At 40.3% G+C, this 17,877-nt stretch overlaps 1 protein-coding gene and 1 long non-coding RNA gene across 8 annotated transcripts in view; one reads left to right on the top strand and one right to left on the bottom strand.

Annotated features, from left to right (window-relative positions):
* The window catches only part of SLC14A2 (solute carrier family 14 member 2), a 515,726-nt gene that overhangs the window by 199,770 nt on the left and 298,079 nt on the right, over positions 1–17,877 (bottom strand). For all 5 annotated transcript variants that reach the window (NM_001371319.1, XM_024451270.2, XM_017026016.3 and 2 more), the window contains one exon: positions 597–686. The gene's annotated coding sequence lies outside the window, so the exon portion shown is untranslated. The remainder of the gene's footprint in view (positions 1–596; positions 687–17,877) is intronic.
* Positions 1–17,877, top strand: part of SLC14A2-AS1 (SLC14A2 antisense RNA 1) — a 142,177-nt gene that overhangs the window by 23,145 nt on the left and 101,155 nt on the right. For all 3 annotated transcript variants that reach the window (XR_007066352.1, XR_007066350.1, XR_007066351.1), the window contains 2 exons: positions 370–748; positions 1,312–1,522. This is a non-coding gene — a long non-coding RNA (SLC14A2 antisense RNA 1). The remainder of the gene's footprint in view (positions 1–369; positions 749–1,311; positions 1,523–17,877) is intronic.

Here is a 17,877-nt window from a genome sequence, read left to right as displayed (position 1 = left end):
GATGCCAGCGCATCCATCTTGAGCAGCTTTCTTTGTGCTTAATATAAGTATAGAACAGCTGGTCTGCTTGTCAAACAACCAATAAATCGATGCCTGGCAAAACAGTAGTTTTTATCAGCAAGTGACCTTAAGATAAACTTTATATTGCTAGGAAATCATTCCAACCCCAAATCAGTGGCACCCCAACTCAGGCCTCCCTGGTGGCATGAGGAAGGAAAACTAATGAAGTATGGAGGCTATTAATGGCTTTATCTTTTCTCTCACCCATTCCCTCTCCTTTTTTCAAATTTGCAATTATGTTCAGCAGTGTCAGATCTGTTCATCTATTTTTGACATATAAATAGAACCTATCCCTTTTAAATTTTTCAGAGGAGATGAGCATGTGATTATTGTTACCACTTGTCTGGAAGCAACCAGAATGGAGTGGGGAAGACTCAAGGAGGAGATCTTCACAGGACTCACCTCTCATCACAGCTCCCGTGTGGTTGTAATCACCCCAGAGGGAAAAATAATTTCGGTTTTTTATGGTTTAATTATTGGTGATAGCAGCTGTTTTGAAGACACAAACACAGAAGCAAGTTCTAGAACATACTCACAGTTTCCTTGGTCACAGTGTTGTCAGTGGTTCTATAAAGGTCTTATGAATCTCTACTTAGTTGACCACAAGTAGTAAGCAAGAAACAATCCTGTAAAGAGAATGGAGGTCAGAATAAAGAAGCCTTGAGGGTTTAAATCGCTTCTTGAAAAGGTAATAATATTTACTCTTTTAAAAATTATAAACAATACATGTTCCTTTTACAGAAAAAAAAGAAAAAAATAAGGAAACAGGACATAAAACTCATCTGTTATTCCACCATCTAGATACAACTACTGTTAACCCAGGAACACTTAAAGAGTGTTTCATGAATATTTATGTATACATGCAAATATATTTTCTATCGGTCTTAGTTTACAAAACAGGGATCCTATTGTCCTTGCTGTTTTGTGACCTTTTCTTTCATTGAATAAGATATTAATGAATATCCTTTGCCAGTAAATAAACTTCAACTCTGTGGTGGACACATTCTAAGATGATTCCCTTTGATCCCCACCCCCTTGTGTTCTCACCATTGTATAACTGTGTGATCACTCCATTTGAGTGTGGGCTGAACTTCTGACTTACATCCAACCAATTGAATATCACAGTGTTGGGATATCATTTCCAAGATTAGGTTACAAGAAGACTCTATCTTCTTGCTCATGCTCTCTTATTCTCTGGCTTGCTTTCTGCCATGGAGCCAACTGCCATGTCATCAACTGTCTGCCCTACAGAAATGCCCGTGTGTCAAGGAGCTAAGGGAGACCAGCCCAGGAGGAGCTGAATCCTGCCAACAATCACTTGAGTGAACTTGAGAGTGAATCCTCTCCATGTTAAGCCTTGAGGTGATTGTAGCTCCATCAAATACCTTCATTGTAGCCTTGTGAGAGATCTGAGTCAGAGGATGGAGTTAAGCCAAGCCCAGATTCCAGACCCTCAGAAACTGTGAGATAATAAATTTGTTGTTCTAAGCTACTAAGTTTTGGTGTAAAACAGCCATAGATAACTGATACAAATCACATAATTTTTAATAGCTGCTTCATATGTTAATATGTCTGTACCATAATTTACTCAATCTTTTGTTGCTGCACATTTTGGTTATTTTGTTTTGCTATTATAAACAGGGCTGCAATGAATATTATTGTACTTAAACATTGGTACACGTTCTTCTTTCCTAAGGATAAATTCCTTGAAGTAAAATAGCTGGCTTTCAATGGGTATGCATTTTTTTAAAGCTTTTGGTATGTTATTCCCCAATCACTTTCTGTTAGGATTGTATTCATTTACAGTCCTGCTGGCTGTAGTTCAGGTTAATTTCAACTACTTTATCTTGAGTTGTCTCCATGAAAACCAGTTAGAAACCGAAACCAAAGCCCCAAACAAGAAAAGCCCCAAACAAGAACCCAGGAAAGAAAACTAAGGTTGAATCTTGAAAACTATGAGATAAATTTGAAGCTAAACAATTTTCAAAGTACCATTGTTTTGAAATAAGTCTGATAAATTCAACCACCCTCAAATTGTTATTCTTATCTTTCAATGGACACAGAAGTCCTGAAAATGTGGTGATACTCATAGTCTTCACGAACTTTGAAAGGGAAAACAACAATTTCTCTGGTTGAAGTCAACATAACAATAGGCTAGTTTGAAAATCCTGTTTTTTTTCAGTTGCACAAAGGATTGTCAATAAATTCAACTTTTTAAATTACTAAGCTGGATAAACTGAATTCAATAGATTTTTTGGAAGCATTTTGTATACATAGATACCACCACCATTTCCAAATTGCAACCCTTACTGTTGGGGAAGAGTAAATATTTTAATGAATGCTATATATTTTAACAAGCTCTGAACTCTGCGGTTGGTTTAAGCTAAGGGTGCAATTTCAGGCATCTAAATAAGTAAATAAATGAGGAAGAAAATCCATATTAATTGCAGTAATTTGCGGCACTTTCAAATTCTTAATTAAGAAATAAAATAGGATTCATTAGCCATGCCCAGTGTAGATGGCATACATAGATCACCATTATGACCAGACACAAGACCTGAAGTCATTGCCATAAATGAAATAACAGAGAAAAATCACTGGTGCATTATTGGCCAGAATATGCAGGCACAAAGAGGGAGGAGAGAGGGGAGAGAGACACATAAAATGCCTGTCCTCCAAAACCTGGCCTGGGGATTGCATTATCCCAAAACATCTCCCCTGAGCCTGGAATCCTGCCTCCTCCTAATTTTGGGGATTGGTTCCTCCCTCAAGCCTCACACAAAACTTCTCTTAGCCTGTCTGACAACCCTGCCAGTGCTTACTTTTTAAACTTTATCAATCATCTGCCCCAGGTCTTTTGTGTACCTGGACTTCAGGTCTCTTTGTCTGCTTCATTTTCTTAGTGAGTCTTAATATATATATATATATTTTAAAAACTGGGAAGAAGAAAAGAACTTTGGTTATAACCAGAAGCATTCTGACTCATGCTGCTTTTTAAAAATTAAGCATTAAATTAGAGAGAGCACATAATTTACTATTAGAAAAATTGCTTTTGACTGGGACAAATGTTTCTCTGGACAGGGCACCAGACATTAATTGGGACTGTTCCTGGCAATCCAAGATGCTTGGTGCCTCTAATGAAAGCCCATGCAGGCCCCCAGGGGAGGGGGAAGGTGGCAGTGGGCATGAGTTTTCAGGCATGTAAGGGGAGCTCTGCTCTGGTTATGTGGGCTGTGGGGGTAATCTCAATGTGTGCTTGTTTGGAAGAAAGAGCACTGATGTACCTGGCTGTGGGCAGAGATGGCTGGTCATTGTATTCCTGGTGAGAACACAAATGTAGACTATAGGCATGTATCCCTTGGGCCTTCCCTTTCCTGCTGTTCTACCTATCTTAGTGTTGATATCCAGGTAGGCATGAACACTCTGTGGAGACAGGCACGGGCAGGTGTGGGCAGCCAATTGCATTCAGCTCAGCAGTGAGAAGGGTACAGAGTACAGGGCATGAGCAATTTGAAGAGGTCTGGAAACTCAAGGTGAAGAAAGAAAAGAAAGAAAATAATACACTGAAGATCTCTAAAAGAAATTGAAGAATCTTGTCTGGGATTAGACATTGAAAAATTTTGGACAGGTAGCAAAGTTTTTGGTGTTACTTGTAGACTCAAGCAAATCAGAAATGAGCATATACACTTCTCAAAACCTATTATATCTTCATGTGGAAGGCATAAGAATAGTCTGAGACATACTTTTTGTTTTGGGGGCACTTATGGGTTGCTTCCTTAAGTCAAAGGCTCCCTTTCCTTTGAAATGGAAAGCAGAGAGAAAGCTGGACTCTGCTAGCCCTACTTACTGAACCATGCAAATCCTTTCTTGGGGAAGGCCATCCACTATTCCACACCCATGATGAAGACCCTCATGGAATTTACGAGAGGTGCAATAAATGTTCACGTCTTGCAATGTTCCATTTCCCAGAGGATCCTTCCTCCCTGGCCACATCCGGACAGAGTCCAGACCTTTGGGGGCTCAGAGGCCTGTTGCTGTGGGTAATGTGAATGATTATTTCCATTCCTTACCAAAACAGGGGGAGAACAGCATCATTATGCCTTTAATTTTCTGAAGATTTATGGTAAAGCAGATACAGAGCTTTTCCAATTTTAGAAGTAAGACAAAGAGAAACAAATTCAAAATACATCCATAAAAACTGAGGCTAGACACCAGACTAGGAAAAGAAAAACCGACTATATAGAGTTTTCCTGTAGAATTCACTATTTCCTGTGTGCTAGGTACTCTAACTTGGCACAGATAGTGAGTGAGAGTAGTATGCTGACAAGACATAACAAAGGATGAGAAAAAAGTAGGCAGGAGATGTCAGAGCCATGACAAGCCCTGGGAAGTATGCTTTATTACGCTGTTGCAAGGAAGATCAAGGAGAATTCATTGTTAAAGTTCTTTTGAGGACAGGCCTGAAATACAGTTATATCTCAATTATTACATTTGAGAATTGTTTGTTCATTCCTTTATTTATTCATTTTATTATTAGCTATTAATATTAACAAACATTAATTGAGCATTTTCTCTTTGTCAGATATAGCGTTAGGTGCTAGAGATTTAGGGGAGGAAAATTGGGATATACAGCTTTTTAAAAAGAGCTTTACTTTTAAGACAGTGTTGTTAAGATAGCCCTGCCCACTTCCTTTTGAATTTGTTCCAAGACAATAATAATAAGAAACAGAAATGCAAACCTCACCTTTGTTGAGGAAGGGCTGCCAAAAGCAGTAAAGTTCCAACCTAGGGCAGGTAGATGCTGAAAGGTGTCTGCTGCCAAAGACCTCAAGCAAAGCTCGCAGAGCACAGAGTTTGCCAAAGAGGGCAGAACCAACACCGTCTTTTGGGGGTCAACTGGTCTAAGGTGAATGGCTGCCTGTAAAAGCATCCCTGGACTCTTCCATTAAGAAAAGGGGAGGTGGTATAAATAAGAAAACACTTAAAAATTCTATTTAAGCTTGTCTGTTGGGAAGGCAGGTTAGAGAAGATAGGTTCCACTTTAATTGGTCTTGGCAACTGACAATCTCTTTTTTTTTTTCTGGAAAAAGGTAAAGGCTAAATTAACTTGTACACATATCCACACACACAACCTTGTGTGTTGTCAGGCACATCCCTATAAACTAGAGAGATGCTACTGGATGACATTATAGGCTGGCTCTTCACGCCTTCCTTTTTCTGCAAAATAGCTGGTTAAGAAAGAGCTTATCTCAGTCAAATATGAGCCAGAATTAAACAGAAACCATCAGAAGAACTCTACAAAGATATTGCAAGAAAAGAAGGTAATGATAAAAGGAAACAGACAAAGAACAAGTACCAAATTGTGTTACCATCAAGCTAAAGGAAACTGTGCCAAGCAAACTATCATAGACAGTGGCTGGCAAGATGGCTGCATAGAAACAGCTCCAGTCTGCAGCTCTCAGTGAGATCAGTACAGAAGGCAGGTGATTTCTGCATTTCCAACTGCGGTACCCAGCTCATCTCATTGGGACTGGTTAGACAGTGGATCCAGCCCATTTAGGGCGAGCAGAAGCAGGGTGGGGCGTTGCCTCACCTGGGAAGCACAAAGGATCAAAGAACTCCCTCTTCTATTCAAGGGAAGCCATGAGGGACTGTGCCTTGAGGAACAGTGCATTCTGGCTCAGATACTATTCTTTTCCCATGGTCTTTGCAACCCACAGACCAGGAGATTCCCTTGGGTGCCTACACCACCGGGGCCCTGGGTTTCAAGCACAAAAGTAGGTGGTTGTTTGGGCAGACACCAAGCTAGCTGCAGGAGTTTTTCTTCATACCCCAGTGGCACCTGGAACGCCAGTGAGACAGAACCATTCACTTCCCTGGAAAGGGGGCTGAAGCCAGGGAGCCAAGTGGTCTAGGTCAGCGGATCCCACCCCTATGGAGCCCAGCAAGCTAAGATCCACTGGCTTGAAATTCTTGCTGCCAGCACAGCAGTCTGAAGTCAGCCTGGGATGCTCGAGGTTGGTTGGGGTAAGGGCATCCGCCATTACTGAGGCTTGAGTAGGTGGTTTTCCTCTCACAGTATAAACAACGCCACCAGGAAGTTTGGACTCAGTGGAGCCCACCGCAGCTCTACAAAGCTGCTGTAGCCAGACTGCTTCTCTAAATTCCTCCTCCCTGGGCAGGGTATCTCTGAAAGAAAGGCAGCAGCCCCAGTCATGGGCTTATAGATAAAACTCCCATCTCCGTGGGACAAAGCACCTGGGGGAAGGGGTGGCTGTGGGTGCAGCTTCAGTAGACTTAAATGTTCCTGCCTGCCGACTCTGAAGAGATCAGCAGATCTCCCAGCACAGCACTTGAGCTCTGCTAAGGGACAGACTGCCTCCTAAAGTGGGTCCCTGACCCCCATGCCTTCTTACTGGGAGATGCCTCCTAGCAGGGGTCGACAGACACCTCATACAGGAGAGCTCCGGCTGGCATCTTGTGGGTACCCCCCTGGGACAAAGCATCCAAAGGAAGGAACAGGCAGCAATCTTTGCTGTTGTGCAGCTTCCACTGGTGATACCCAGGCAAACAAGGTCTGGAGTGGACCTCCAGCAAGCTCCAGCAGACCTGCTGCAGAGGGGCCTGGCTGTTAGAAGGAAAACTAACAAACAGAAAGGAATAGCATCATCATCAACAAAAATGATGTCCACACAAAAACCCCATCCAAAGGTCACCAACATCAAAGACCAAAAGTAGATAAATCCATGAAGATGAGGAAAAACCAGTGCAAAAAGGCTGAAAACTCCAAAAACCAGAACTCCTCTTCTCCAAAGGATCACAACTCCCCGCCAGCAAGGGAATAAAACTGGATGGAGAATGAGTTTGATGAATTGACAGAAGTAGGCTTCAGAAGGCGGGTAATAACAAACTCCTCCAAGCTAAAGAAGCATGTTCTAACCCAATGCAAGGAAGCCAAGAACCTTGAAAAAAGGTTAGAGGAATTGCTAACTAGAATAACCAGTTTAGAGAAGAACATCAATGACCTGACGGAGCTGAAAAACACAGCACAAGAACTTCATGAAGCATACACAAGTATCAATAGCCGAATCGATCAAGTGGAAGAAAGGATATCAGAGATTGAAGATCAACTTAATGAAATAAAGGATGAAGACAAGATTAGAGAAAAAGGAATGAAAAGGAACAAACAAAGCCTCCAAGAAATATGGGACTATGTGAAAAGACCAAACCTACGTTTGACTGGTGTACCTGAAAGTGATGGGGAGAATGGAACCAAGTTGGAAAACACTCTTCAGGATATTGTTCAGGACAACTTCCCCAGCCTCGCAAGGCAGGCCAACATTCAAATTCAGGAAATACTGAAAATGCCACAAAGATACTTCTCAAGAAGAGCAACCCCAAGAAACATAATCATCACCTTCACCAAGGTTGAAATTAAGGAAAAAATGTTAAGGGCAGTCAGAGAGAAAGGTCGGGTTACCCACAAAGAGAAGCTCACCAGACTAACAGCAGATCTCTCTGCAGAAACCTTACAAACCAGAAGAGAGTGGGGGCCAATATTCAAAATTCTTAAAACAAAGAGTTTTCAATCCAGAATTTCATATCCAGCCAAACTAATCTTCATAAGAGAAGGAGAAATAAAATCCTTTACAGACAAGCAATTGCTGAGAGATTTTGTCACCACCAGGCCCGCCTTACAAGAGCTCCTGAAGGAAGCACTAAATATGGAAAGGAAAAACCGGTACCAGCCACTGCAAAAACATACCAAATTGTAAAGACCATCAATACTATGAAGAAACTGCATCAACTAATGGGCAAAATAACCAGCTATCATGATAATGACAGGATCAAATTCACACATAACGATATTAACCTTAAATGTAAATGGGCTAAATGTCCCAGTTAAAAGACACAGGCTGGAAAATTGGATAAAGAGTCAAGACCAATTACTGTGCTGTATTCAGAAGACCCATCTCATGTGCAAAGACACACATAGGCTCAAAATAAAGGGATGGAGGAAGATTTACCAAGCAAATGGAAAGCAAAAAAAGCAGGCGTTGCAATCCTAGTCTCTGATAAAACAGACTTTAAACCAACAAAGATAAAAAAAGACAAAGAAGGGCATTACATAATGGTAAAGGGATCAATGCAACAAGAAGAGATAACTATCATATATATATATATATATATATATATATATATATATATATATATATCCTAAATATATATATATATATATCCTAAATATATATATAACCTAAACATATATCTATATCTATATCCTAAATATATATCCTAAATATATGCACCCAATACAGGAGCACCCATATTCATAAAGCAAGTTCTTAGAGACATACAAAGAGACTTAGACTCCCACACAATAATAGTGTATTAACACCCCACTGTCAATATTTGACAGATCAATGAGACAGAAAATTAACAAGGATATTCAGGACTTGAACTCAGCTCTGGACCAAGCAGACATCTAAAGAACTCCCCACCCCAAGTCAACAGAATATACATTCTTCTCAACACCACATCGCACTTATTCTAAAATTGACCACATAATTGGAAAACCCTCCCTCAGCAAATGCAAAAGAACAGAAATCATAACTGTCTCTCAGACCACAGTGCAATCAAATTAGAACTCAGGATTAAGAAACTCACTCAGAACTGCACAACTATGTGGAAACTGAACAACCTGCTCCTGAATGAATACTGGGTACATAACGAAATTAAGGCAGAAATAAATAAGTTCTTTGAAACCAATGAGAAGAAAGACACAACATACCAGGATCTCTGGGACACAGCTAAAGCAGTGTTTAAAGGGAAATTTATAGCATTAAATGCCCACAGGAGAAAGTGGGAAAGATCTAGAGTCGACACCCTTACATCACAATTAAAAGAACTAGAGAAGCAAGAGCAAACAAATTCAAAAGCTAGCAAAAGACAAGAAATAACTAAGATCAGAGCAGAATTGAAGGAGATAGAGACACAAAAAACCCTTCAAAAAATTAATGAATCCAGGAGCTGGTTTTTTGAAAAGATTAACAAAATAGATAGACTGCTAGCCAGACCAATAAAGAAGAAAAGAGAGAAGAATCAAATAGACACAATAAAAAATGATAAAGGAGATATCACCACTGAACCTACGGAAATGCAAACTACTATCAGAGAATACTATAAACACCTCTATGCAAATAAACTAGAAAATCTAGAAGAAATGGATAAATTCCTGGACACATACACCCTCCCAAGACTAAACCAGGAAGAAGTTGAATCCCTGAATAGACCAACAACAAGTTCTGAAATTGAGGCAATAATTAATAGCCTACCAACCAAAAAAAGCCCAGGACCGGATGGATTCACAGCTAAATTATACCAGAGGTACAAAGAGGAGCTGGTACCACTCCTTCTGAAACTATTCCAAACAGTAGGAAAAGAGGGACCCCTCCCTAACTCATTTTACTGGGCCAACATCATCCTGATACCAAAACCTGGCAGACACACAACAAAAAAAGAAAATTTCTGGCCAATATCCCTGATGAACATTGATGCAAAAATCCTCAATAAAATACGGGCAAACCAAATCCAGCAGCACATCAAAAAGCTTATCCGCCACGATCAAATGGGCTTCAACCCCGGGATGCAAGGGGGTTCAATATACACAAATCAATAAACGTAATCCATCACATAAACAGAATCAATGACAAAAACCACATGATTATCTCAACAGATGCAGAAAAGGCCTTCAATAAAATTCAACACCCATTCATGCTAAAAACTCCCAATAAACTAGGTATTGATGGAATGTATCTCAAAATATTAAGAGCTGTTTATGAAAAACCCACAGCCAATATCATACTGAATGGGCAAAAACAGGAAGCATTTCCTTTGAAAACTGGCACAAGACAAGTATGCCCTCTCTTACCACTCCTATTCAACATAGTATTGGAAGTTCTGGCCAGGGCAATCAGGCAAGAGAAAAAATAAAGGATATTCAAATAGGAAGAGAGGAAGTCAAATTGTTTCTGTTTGCAGATGACATGATTGTATATTTAGAAAACCCCATCATCTCAGCCCAAAATCTCCTTAAGCTGATCAGCAACTTCAGCAAAGCCTCAGGATACAAAATCAATGTGCAAAAGTCACAAGCATTCCTATACATCAATCATAGACAAACAAAGAGCCAAATCATGAGTGAACTCCTGTTCGCAACTGCTACAAAGAGAATAAAATATCTAAGAATCCAACTTACAAGGGATGTGAAGGACCTCTTCAAGGAGAACTGCAAACCACTGCTCAAGGAAATAAGAGAGGACACAAAAACAAATGGAAAAACACTTGATGCTCATGGATAGGAAGAATCAATATTATGAAATGGCCATACTGCCCAAAGTAATTTATAGATTTAATGCTATCCCCATCAAGCTACCATTGGCTTTCTTCTCATAATTAGAAAAAACTACTTTAAATTTCACATGGAACCAAAAAAGAGCCCATGTAGCTAAGACAATCCTAAGCAAAAAGAACAAAGCCGGAGGCATGATGCTACCTGACTTCAAACCATACTACAACGCTACAGTAACCAAAACAGCATGGTACTGGTACCAAAGCAGATATATAGACCAATGGAACAGAACAGAGGCCTCAGGAGTAATGCCACACATCTACAACCATCTGATCTTTGACAAACCTGACAAAAACAAGCAATGGAGAAAGGATTCCCTATTTAATAAATGGTGTTGGGAGAACTGGCTAGCCATATGCAGAAAACTGAACCTGGACCCCTTCCTTACACCTTATACAAAAATTAATTTAAGATGGATTAAAGACTTAAATGTAAGACCTAAAACCACAGAAACCCTAGAAAGAAACCTAGGCATTACCATTCAGGACATAGGCATGGGCAAAGACTTCATGACTAAAACACCAAAAGCAATGGCAACAAAAGCCAGAATTGACAAATGGGATCTAATTAAATTAAAGAGCTTCTGCACAGCAAAAGAAACTATCATCAGAGTGAACAGGCAACCTGCAGAATGGAAGAAAATTTTTGCATTCTATCCATCTGACAAAGGGCTAATATCCAGAATCTATAAGAAACTTAAACAAATTAAGAAGAAAAAAACACACAACCCCATCAAAAAATGGGCGAAGGATATGGACAGACACTTCTCAAAAGAAGACATTTATGTGACCAACAAACATATGAAAAAAAGCTCATCATCACCGGTCATTAGAGAAATGCAAATCAAAACCACAATGCGATACCATCTCACACCAGTTAGAATGGCTATCATTAAAAAGTCAGAAAACAACAGATGCTGGAGAGGATGTGGAAAATAGGAATGCTTTTACACTGTTGGTGGGAGTGTAAATTAGTTCAACCACTGTGGAAGACAGTGTGGCGATTCCTCAAGGATCTAGAACCAGAAATACCATTTGACCCAGCAATCCCATTACTGGGTATATACCGAAAGGATTATAAATCATGCCACTATAAAGACATATGCATACGTGTATTTACTGCAGCACTATCCACAATAGCAAAGACTTGGAACCCACCCAAATGCCCATCAATGATAGACTGGATAAAGAAAATGTGGCACAAATACACCACGGAATACTATGCAGCATGAAAAAGAATGAGTTCATGTTCCTTGCGGGGACATGGATGAAGCTGGAAACCATCATTCTCAGCAAACTAACACAGGAACTGTAAACCAAACACTGCATATTCTCACTCATAAGGGGGAGTTGAACAACGAGAACACATGGACACAGGGAGGGGAACATCTCACACCATGGCCTGTCATGGGGTCGGGGGCTAGGGGAAGGATAGCATTAGGAGAAATACCTAATGTAGATGATGGGTTGATGGGTGCAGCAAACCACCATGGCACGTGTATACCTATGTAACAAACCTGTACATTCTGCACATGTACCCCAGAACTTAAAGTATAATAAAAAAAACTATTATAGACAAACATACAAATAAAAAAACAACAAGCCTCAATGAAACAAATCATTATATAAAATAAAATATCAAGAAAGACATGTCCAGACAACTGAAAGAGCAAAAAATGAGCTAGCAGAGCTCAGGAAAGTTGTAAAGGAGAAAAAAAGAGTCATCACCAAAATTAGGGACCCATCAGCAGCAACAAGACGGTGAAAAGAAACTGCTCAAGACACAAAAACAGACTTAAGAACAGGATTGATCAAGTGAGCAGAACACATGAAAATGGATAGTTAAAAAGGAATAAGAAAGAACATGATAGAAATGGAAGATAAAATAGATACAATAGATCTATGCTTATGCATAAATGTAGTATTTGAAGAATACTAAAAAATATAGAATAGAAAATGTATTTGGAGAAGTATAATTTCAAAACGGTTTTCAAAAATAAAATATTTAAATCTGCCTACAAAGCAAGGCAAAACAAACAAAACATAAACCGTCTCAGGAAAAATTGATACAGAAATGATACCCAATGGTAAAGAAAGACTCTCTTGCCATCCCAACAAACAAAAAGCGAAACAAACAAAAGAAAACCAAGATCAAAACCAGAATTTATTTTTCAAGGGGGAAAATTAGGTTGGTGCCAGAGTTTTCCATAGCAACATGATGCTTATAAAACCTCACTAAGAACAAATAAGAAACAGTAAAAATGTGTTAAACTCAAACTGTTGTTCAAGTACAAATGCTTCACCACACATCCTAATAATGCAGAAAATGCATTTATCTGATCTCATCTTGAAGAAACTGGAGGCTGAAATTTAACTAATCAGTAGAAAATGAAGAAACTATGGCAGAAGAACTGGTGGTGGGTTGTTAATGACTTTAGGATTACAACACACACACACACACAAACTGGAAATTATGATTTGAGAACACAATGTAAATATTAATGAACTATAATAACATTTTAAAACACTGAAACTAAAAAAAATTCAGAAGTTGAAGGGAATGAGAAGGTAGCCAAGGGTCAAAGGTTACCACTTAGTGCTAAAGAATCAAATAGAAGGAAATGTTTATTAAAAAGTATAAGGTTGAGATTAGCAGAAATATCATCATCATCATCATCGTCATCATCATGATTAATTAAAATTCGGTAAGAGTAGAAAAATGAGAGGCTACAGAAGAGGAACTATACACATGTCATTATCTTGCAGAGCTGACAGTCAATAGCTAGTAAGGATACAGAGGATTAAATATATTGTATAAACTATCAGAAAGATAAACAATAAAGAATGAAAAATGTTAAAACCTTCCCAACTATCTCTATGAACCTACACACAAACCAAATTAAAATATAACAAACCATAACTGTTAGTGAAAGATAAAAAGAGGCAATAGAGGCAGAAAGTATGTGATGTCTAAACTGAGTACAAACACATCTATGACATTAAAAAATATAAAAGTAAAAATGTATCAGTCAAAATAAATAGATTCTCCATTTAAGTTACAATGTAAAGAACAATTTTGTGCTATGAGCAAAAGACACAATTAAAATAAAGTGACTGGAAAGTTGAAAACAAAAGGAAGGAAAAAGGCAAGCAAGCAAATCAAAACAAAACTAGAAATCTTAGTTTTAATATCAGGCATGTATCAGACAGGTTGAGTACAGGGCTCAAAACAGTAAATGACACAAAGATAGAAACTTTATTGAAACCTGCAATGATGATCTAAACATTATAAATATTTATGCACCAAAAAAACATAGCAACAGCTTTTATTAAGCTAAAAGGCAGTACATATAAAAACAAAAGGCAGGAGATGTATAAAGAGTAAGAGAGCAATACAATTCCTTCAGTTTAAAGATATCAGAATACTTTTAGAGTCACATTACACTTCATTTGGGGATTTTCTCTACTTTTCAACTCGCTGTATTTTTACAAACAGCTATAAAAGAATTGACAGTATCTTCTCCCTGCTACCATTCCTTTCATAGCTCCCCATATCTGCTGCATAAGTCCAAGTTCCTTTATAATGTGTCCCTGCCTACTTCTCTAGTGTTCTCCCACTCTTCAGGTGTTCACAGACATGCCCCACACTGGGAGCTTTCCTTTTCACACCTCCTTGCCTTTGCCTTGGTCCATGCCGTTTCCTTTCTCTGGATGCTCTTCACTCCCTCTGAAAGTAGGTGGACATAATTTTTAAGACTTCACAAACATGTCACTTCCTCTGGGGAGCCTTCTTTGCCTCCAACCCCCACCAGGCACAGGAAACAATTAATACATGCTTACACCACACTGGCACTAACCCAGTTCCTTGGGATCAAGACAAGAGAGATACCTTTGCTCCACCTCATCCTTCATTCCCCACACGTAATTAGGTACAAAGGCCTGCCAGTTGTTCCCTATTGTTTTTCATTTCTTCTATAACCACCTGACTGTCACCCCTGTATCCCTGAGCTCCTCTTCTCTGAGTATTTTGTGGAAGCATCACCCTCTCCTGTTGATTCAGCATCTGCCCTTGCATCCATCTTCTTAAGTAACACTTGGTCAATCAGCTCCTTTGTTCCAGGGTCTCCAGTGGGTTCCCTTTCCTTTATGATCAATTCTTTCATCTGATTTCAAGGCTTTCGGAGCCTGGACATGATGCCCTTTCCTAAATAATTGTCCATTATTACCATCTTACACACCGTTCCATCCACACTGACCATCCTTCCAACAATGCCATGGACACATACCATCTCTATGGCCATCCTGACCTGTACCATAATCACCTTTCTCATGTTCTTCCTGCTTTTCTTCCCTACATATCCAAATCCTGCTTCAAGGGCAACAGAGGGGCAACCTCCGCTTCCCCTCCAGCCCATCAGGCCACAAATCTCTGCCCTGAGCTCTTGTGACATTTATTATCAACACCTCAGCTTGGCTTTTATCTTAATTCATGCTGTGAGTTGCACTTTACTGTACATGCTTTATCTCATCAGATACACTTGACACCTCAGGGATTATGTCTTGTGCTTCTTCTATATTATCTTTGATATCTTACAAGGGGTCGAGAATATAGTAGGTGCTCAGCAATTATATATTCTTTTTAAAAACATAGAATCCATTGCTTTTGTACATGTCATTTAGCAGGATGCCAGTGCATTTGAATCCTAAGCCTTAACCTCTTTCACGGCTTCTTCCCTTCCAGGTTAGAGTGACCCAATTTCTAACCATCATTTTCTAATTATTCAGCTAGGCTAATTAATTACAATGGAGTTGCTTAATATTTTAAAAACTGCTGCCCTTCCATTATCTCAGTGGGCCTTCACATGATACGGTGTTGCAGGCAATGCAGGGATTGTTGGCTTAATTTTACAAATAGGAAAATAAAGTCACGAGTCCAAGACCACACAGTATGTCACTGGCACAAGGGAGGTCAGACTGCCTAGCTTCTGCTTGTTGTCCCTTATTCTTTACACCAGAACAAGCTCTGCCCCTTTGCTAAGTTTCCAGAACTCTAGATGATTAAATGCATTTTGAAAGCATTGATTTTTGCTAAAATGTTTCCTTATTTTGCTTTTGATTTCTCCCTCCCAGTGAAGATACTGCCTCTTCCTTGATGGTTAGCATCCTTTTTCTTCCATGAATGATGGCTCCACTCTATCCTCCTTTTGTTCTCTTTGCCTGAGTTTCCATTTAGCCCCACCAGCCCCTGGAGAACCATTCTGGCTTAATGCCTCCTGCATCCTTTCAAATTGTTCTTGTTTCTTAGCTCGGGATTTCCTGCAGGGCTGGCCTTCTCAGCAAATGAAGATCCTCCAGCGGAAGGCACTACTCCTGACCAAGGTTCTTGATCCTGCTGGGAGGTGGGGGTGGTGGCTGGTAGAGGAGAGGGTGCAGCCCTGCCTTGATTCTCTGGGAATACAGGCAGGTGGCTGTGCTGATGCAGTTCTGGTGAGCCCTGGAACTTGCCTGTACCTCATTTTGTTCTGACCAGCCCCTCTCTCCCCATACCTCCCACACTGTCTTTAGAATGATCTACCTCCACCTCCTCCAGGACAGCTAATTCACAGTGTGTTTTTTTTGTTCTCTACGTTATATGTATCACTTTTTAATTTGTCTGTGGGAGAGGGTGGAGTGGGTTGGTAACATTTACCGATGTCCTGGACTGAGTAGGAATTACCTTATATTATGTATCTTGAATGGATGCTGGAGTCACCCTTTAGCATAACTGTCCATTAGGTAAAATGAGTTTTCAGTTGTCTCAATCCCAGTAGTGTATATCTATTAGTTTTGTTTCCCTTCCTGTCCCTATGACCCTGAAGGGGACAAGGTAACCCAGCCTGAGTACAGATGGAACCTCAACTTCCTGGCTGCTGGGTTGGCCTGAGAAGAGATGGGCACGTGACCCAAGCCAGACCAGTCAGAGTCCTTCTCTGTGAGTTTCAAGGGGAGCTGGATAGAGGAAGCCAGCTTTCCTCTCTGGCTATTAAACTGTCAGGATATGAGGTTGCAGGGGCTGATGCCAAACCTCAACAACAGCCAATATGGGGGAAATGACATAACATCCGCAGAGAAACATAAATGGGGATTGAGGGATGGGTGATACTAGAACTCCAATACCAGTTATTCGTGAGGCCAGCTCCCACCCCTGGGTTTTAAGGAGCTTGGCTATATGAGCCTGTAAATTACCTTCTACTGCTGGAGCCAGTTTGATCTGTTAATTGCAATCAAGAAAATCCTGTCTAATATAATCCCTTTCTGTTGGTGACTTCTCCCATCACAAGTCCCATATGCTCTGTGCCGTCCCTGGCTACCCCAAACTGAGTGTCCTTACACTCAGCATCACTGTGGGTTCATTGGGGGTTGATTCCTGTCTGCTTAGATACCCCAAAAGTCACACCCACATGGACATTGTGTCATCATCAGTAGATAAGAAATAAAATACACATGTCCCTGAAAGAATTAGAGCTCCGCGGGAGAAGGGTTCTCTACCTGCTTTGTTAACAGATGTGCCCATCTGTCTAGGTGGGGCCAGGCACACAGTGGGCACATGAAGAATATTTGCTGAATGGAGGAATCAGTGAATGTGGTAATTTATTCATTCACAGGGGTATACAGGGTGCTTGGCTGCCTCTCTTTTTCTGCTCAGTCATCTCCAATCACTGCCCATTGCATTCCGAATTTAACTCTCTCTTTTATTTACCCTCAATCTACTTGGCTGGCCTTCTCTCTTATGACTACCCTACTTGTTCAAAGAACCTCCTAGTGTGCAGCAGGATGTTAGGTCACCTGAGTTTTTGGTCTGTCTCTGTGGACTCTGTGCCTTGGCTTGGGTGATTCCATCTATCTAGGATGCATCTTCTCTCTGTACTTCACAATCCCACATTTTGAACTCATGCCTCAAGGCCCAGCTCAGATGGAACTCATGCTCTATTCCTCTCATTCAGAAAGAATCTCACATGCTGCTCAGCTTTGCTAGCACATTCTTCAGCCTTCATGCTCTCTAACTTGTACTGATACCAGTTACTGATGCACATGCCCTCCCTTCTCTGGCAGACTCTAGGTTTCCTGGGTGCAGGCCTCCTTCTGCCTCTCTTTGTCTTTGTCCATCATCTTTTCCCTCTACCCCCTTCTTTTCTACCACACCCCTCTGTACTCATAGTCAACCATATCCTAGCAGTCTCACACAAAGTGGATGTCCAGGTAATATAATACATGAATAAATCTGTGTAAATTAGTGCAAAACGATCAACTGTGACCTGACCGAGATAAGCACATAGAATCAGGCTGCAGGGCTCGTTGCAAATTGGGGATAATAATCCTCACTTTCTCCCATCACAAATCCCATATGCTCTATGCCACAGACCTTGT

Source organism: Homo sapiens, chromosome 18, assembly GCF_000001405.40.
Source record: "Homo sapiens chromosome 18, GRCh38.p14 Primary Assembly".
Taxonomy (NCBI): Eukaryota; Metazoa; Chordata; class Mammalia; order Primates; family Hominidae; genus Homo; species Homo sapiens.
This window is presented reverse-complemented; position numbering and strand designations above follow the sequence as displayed.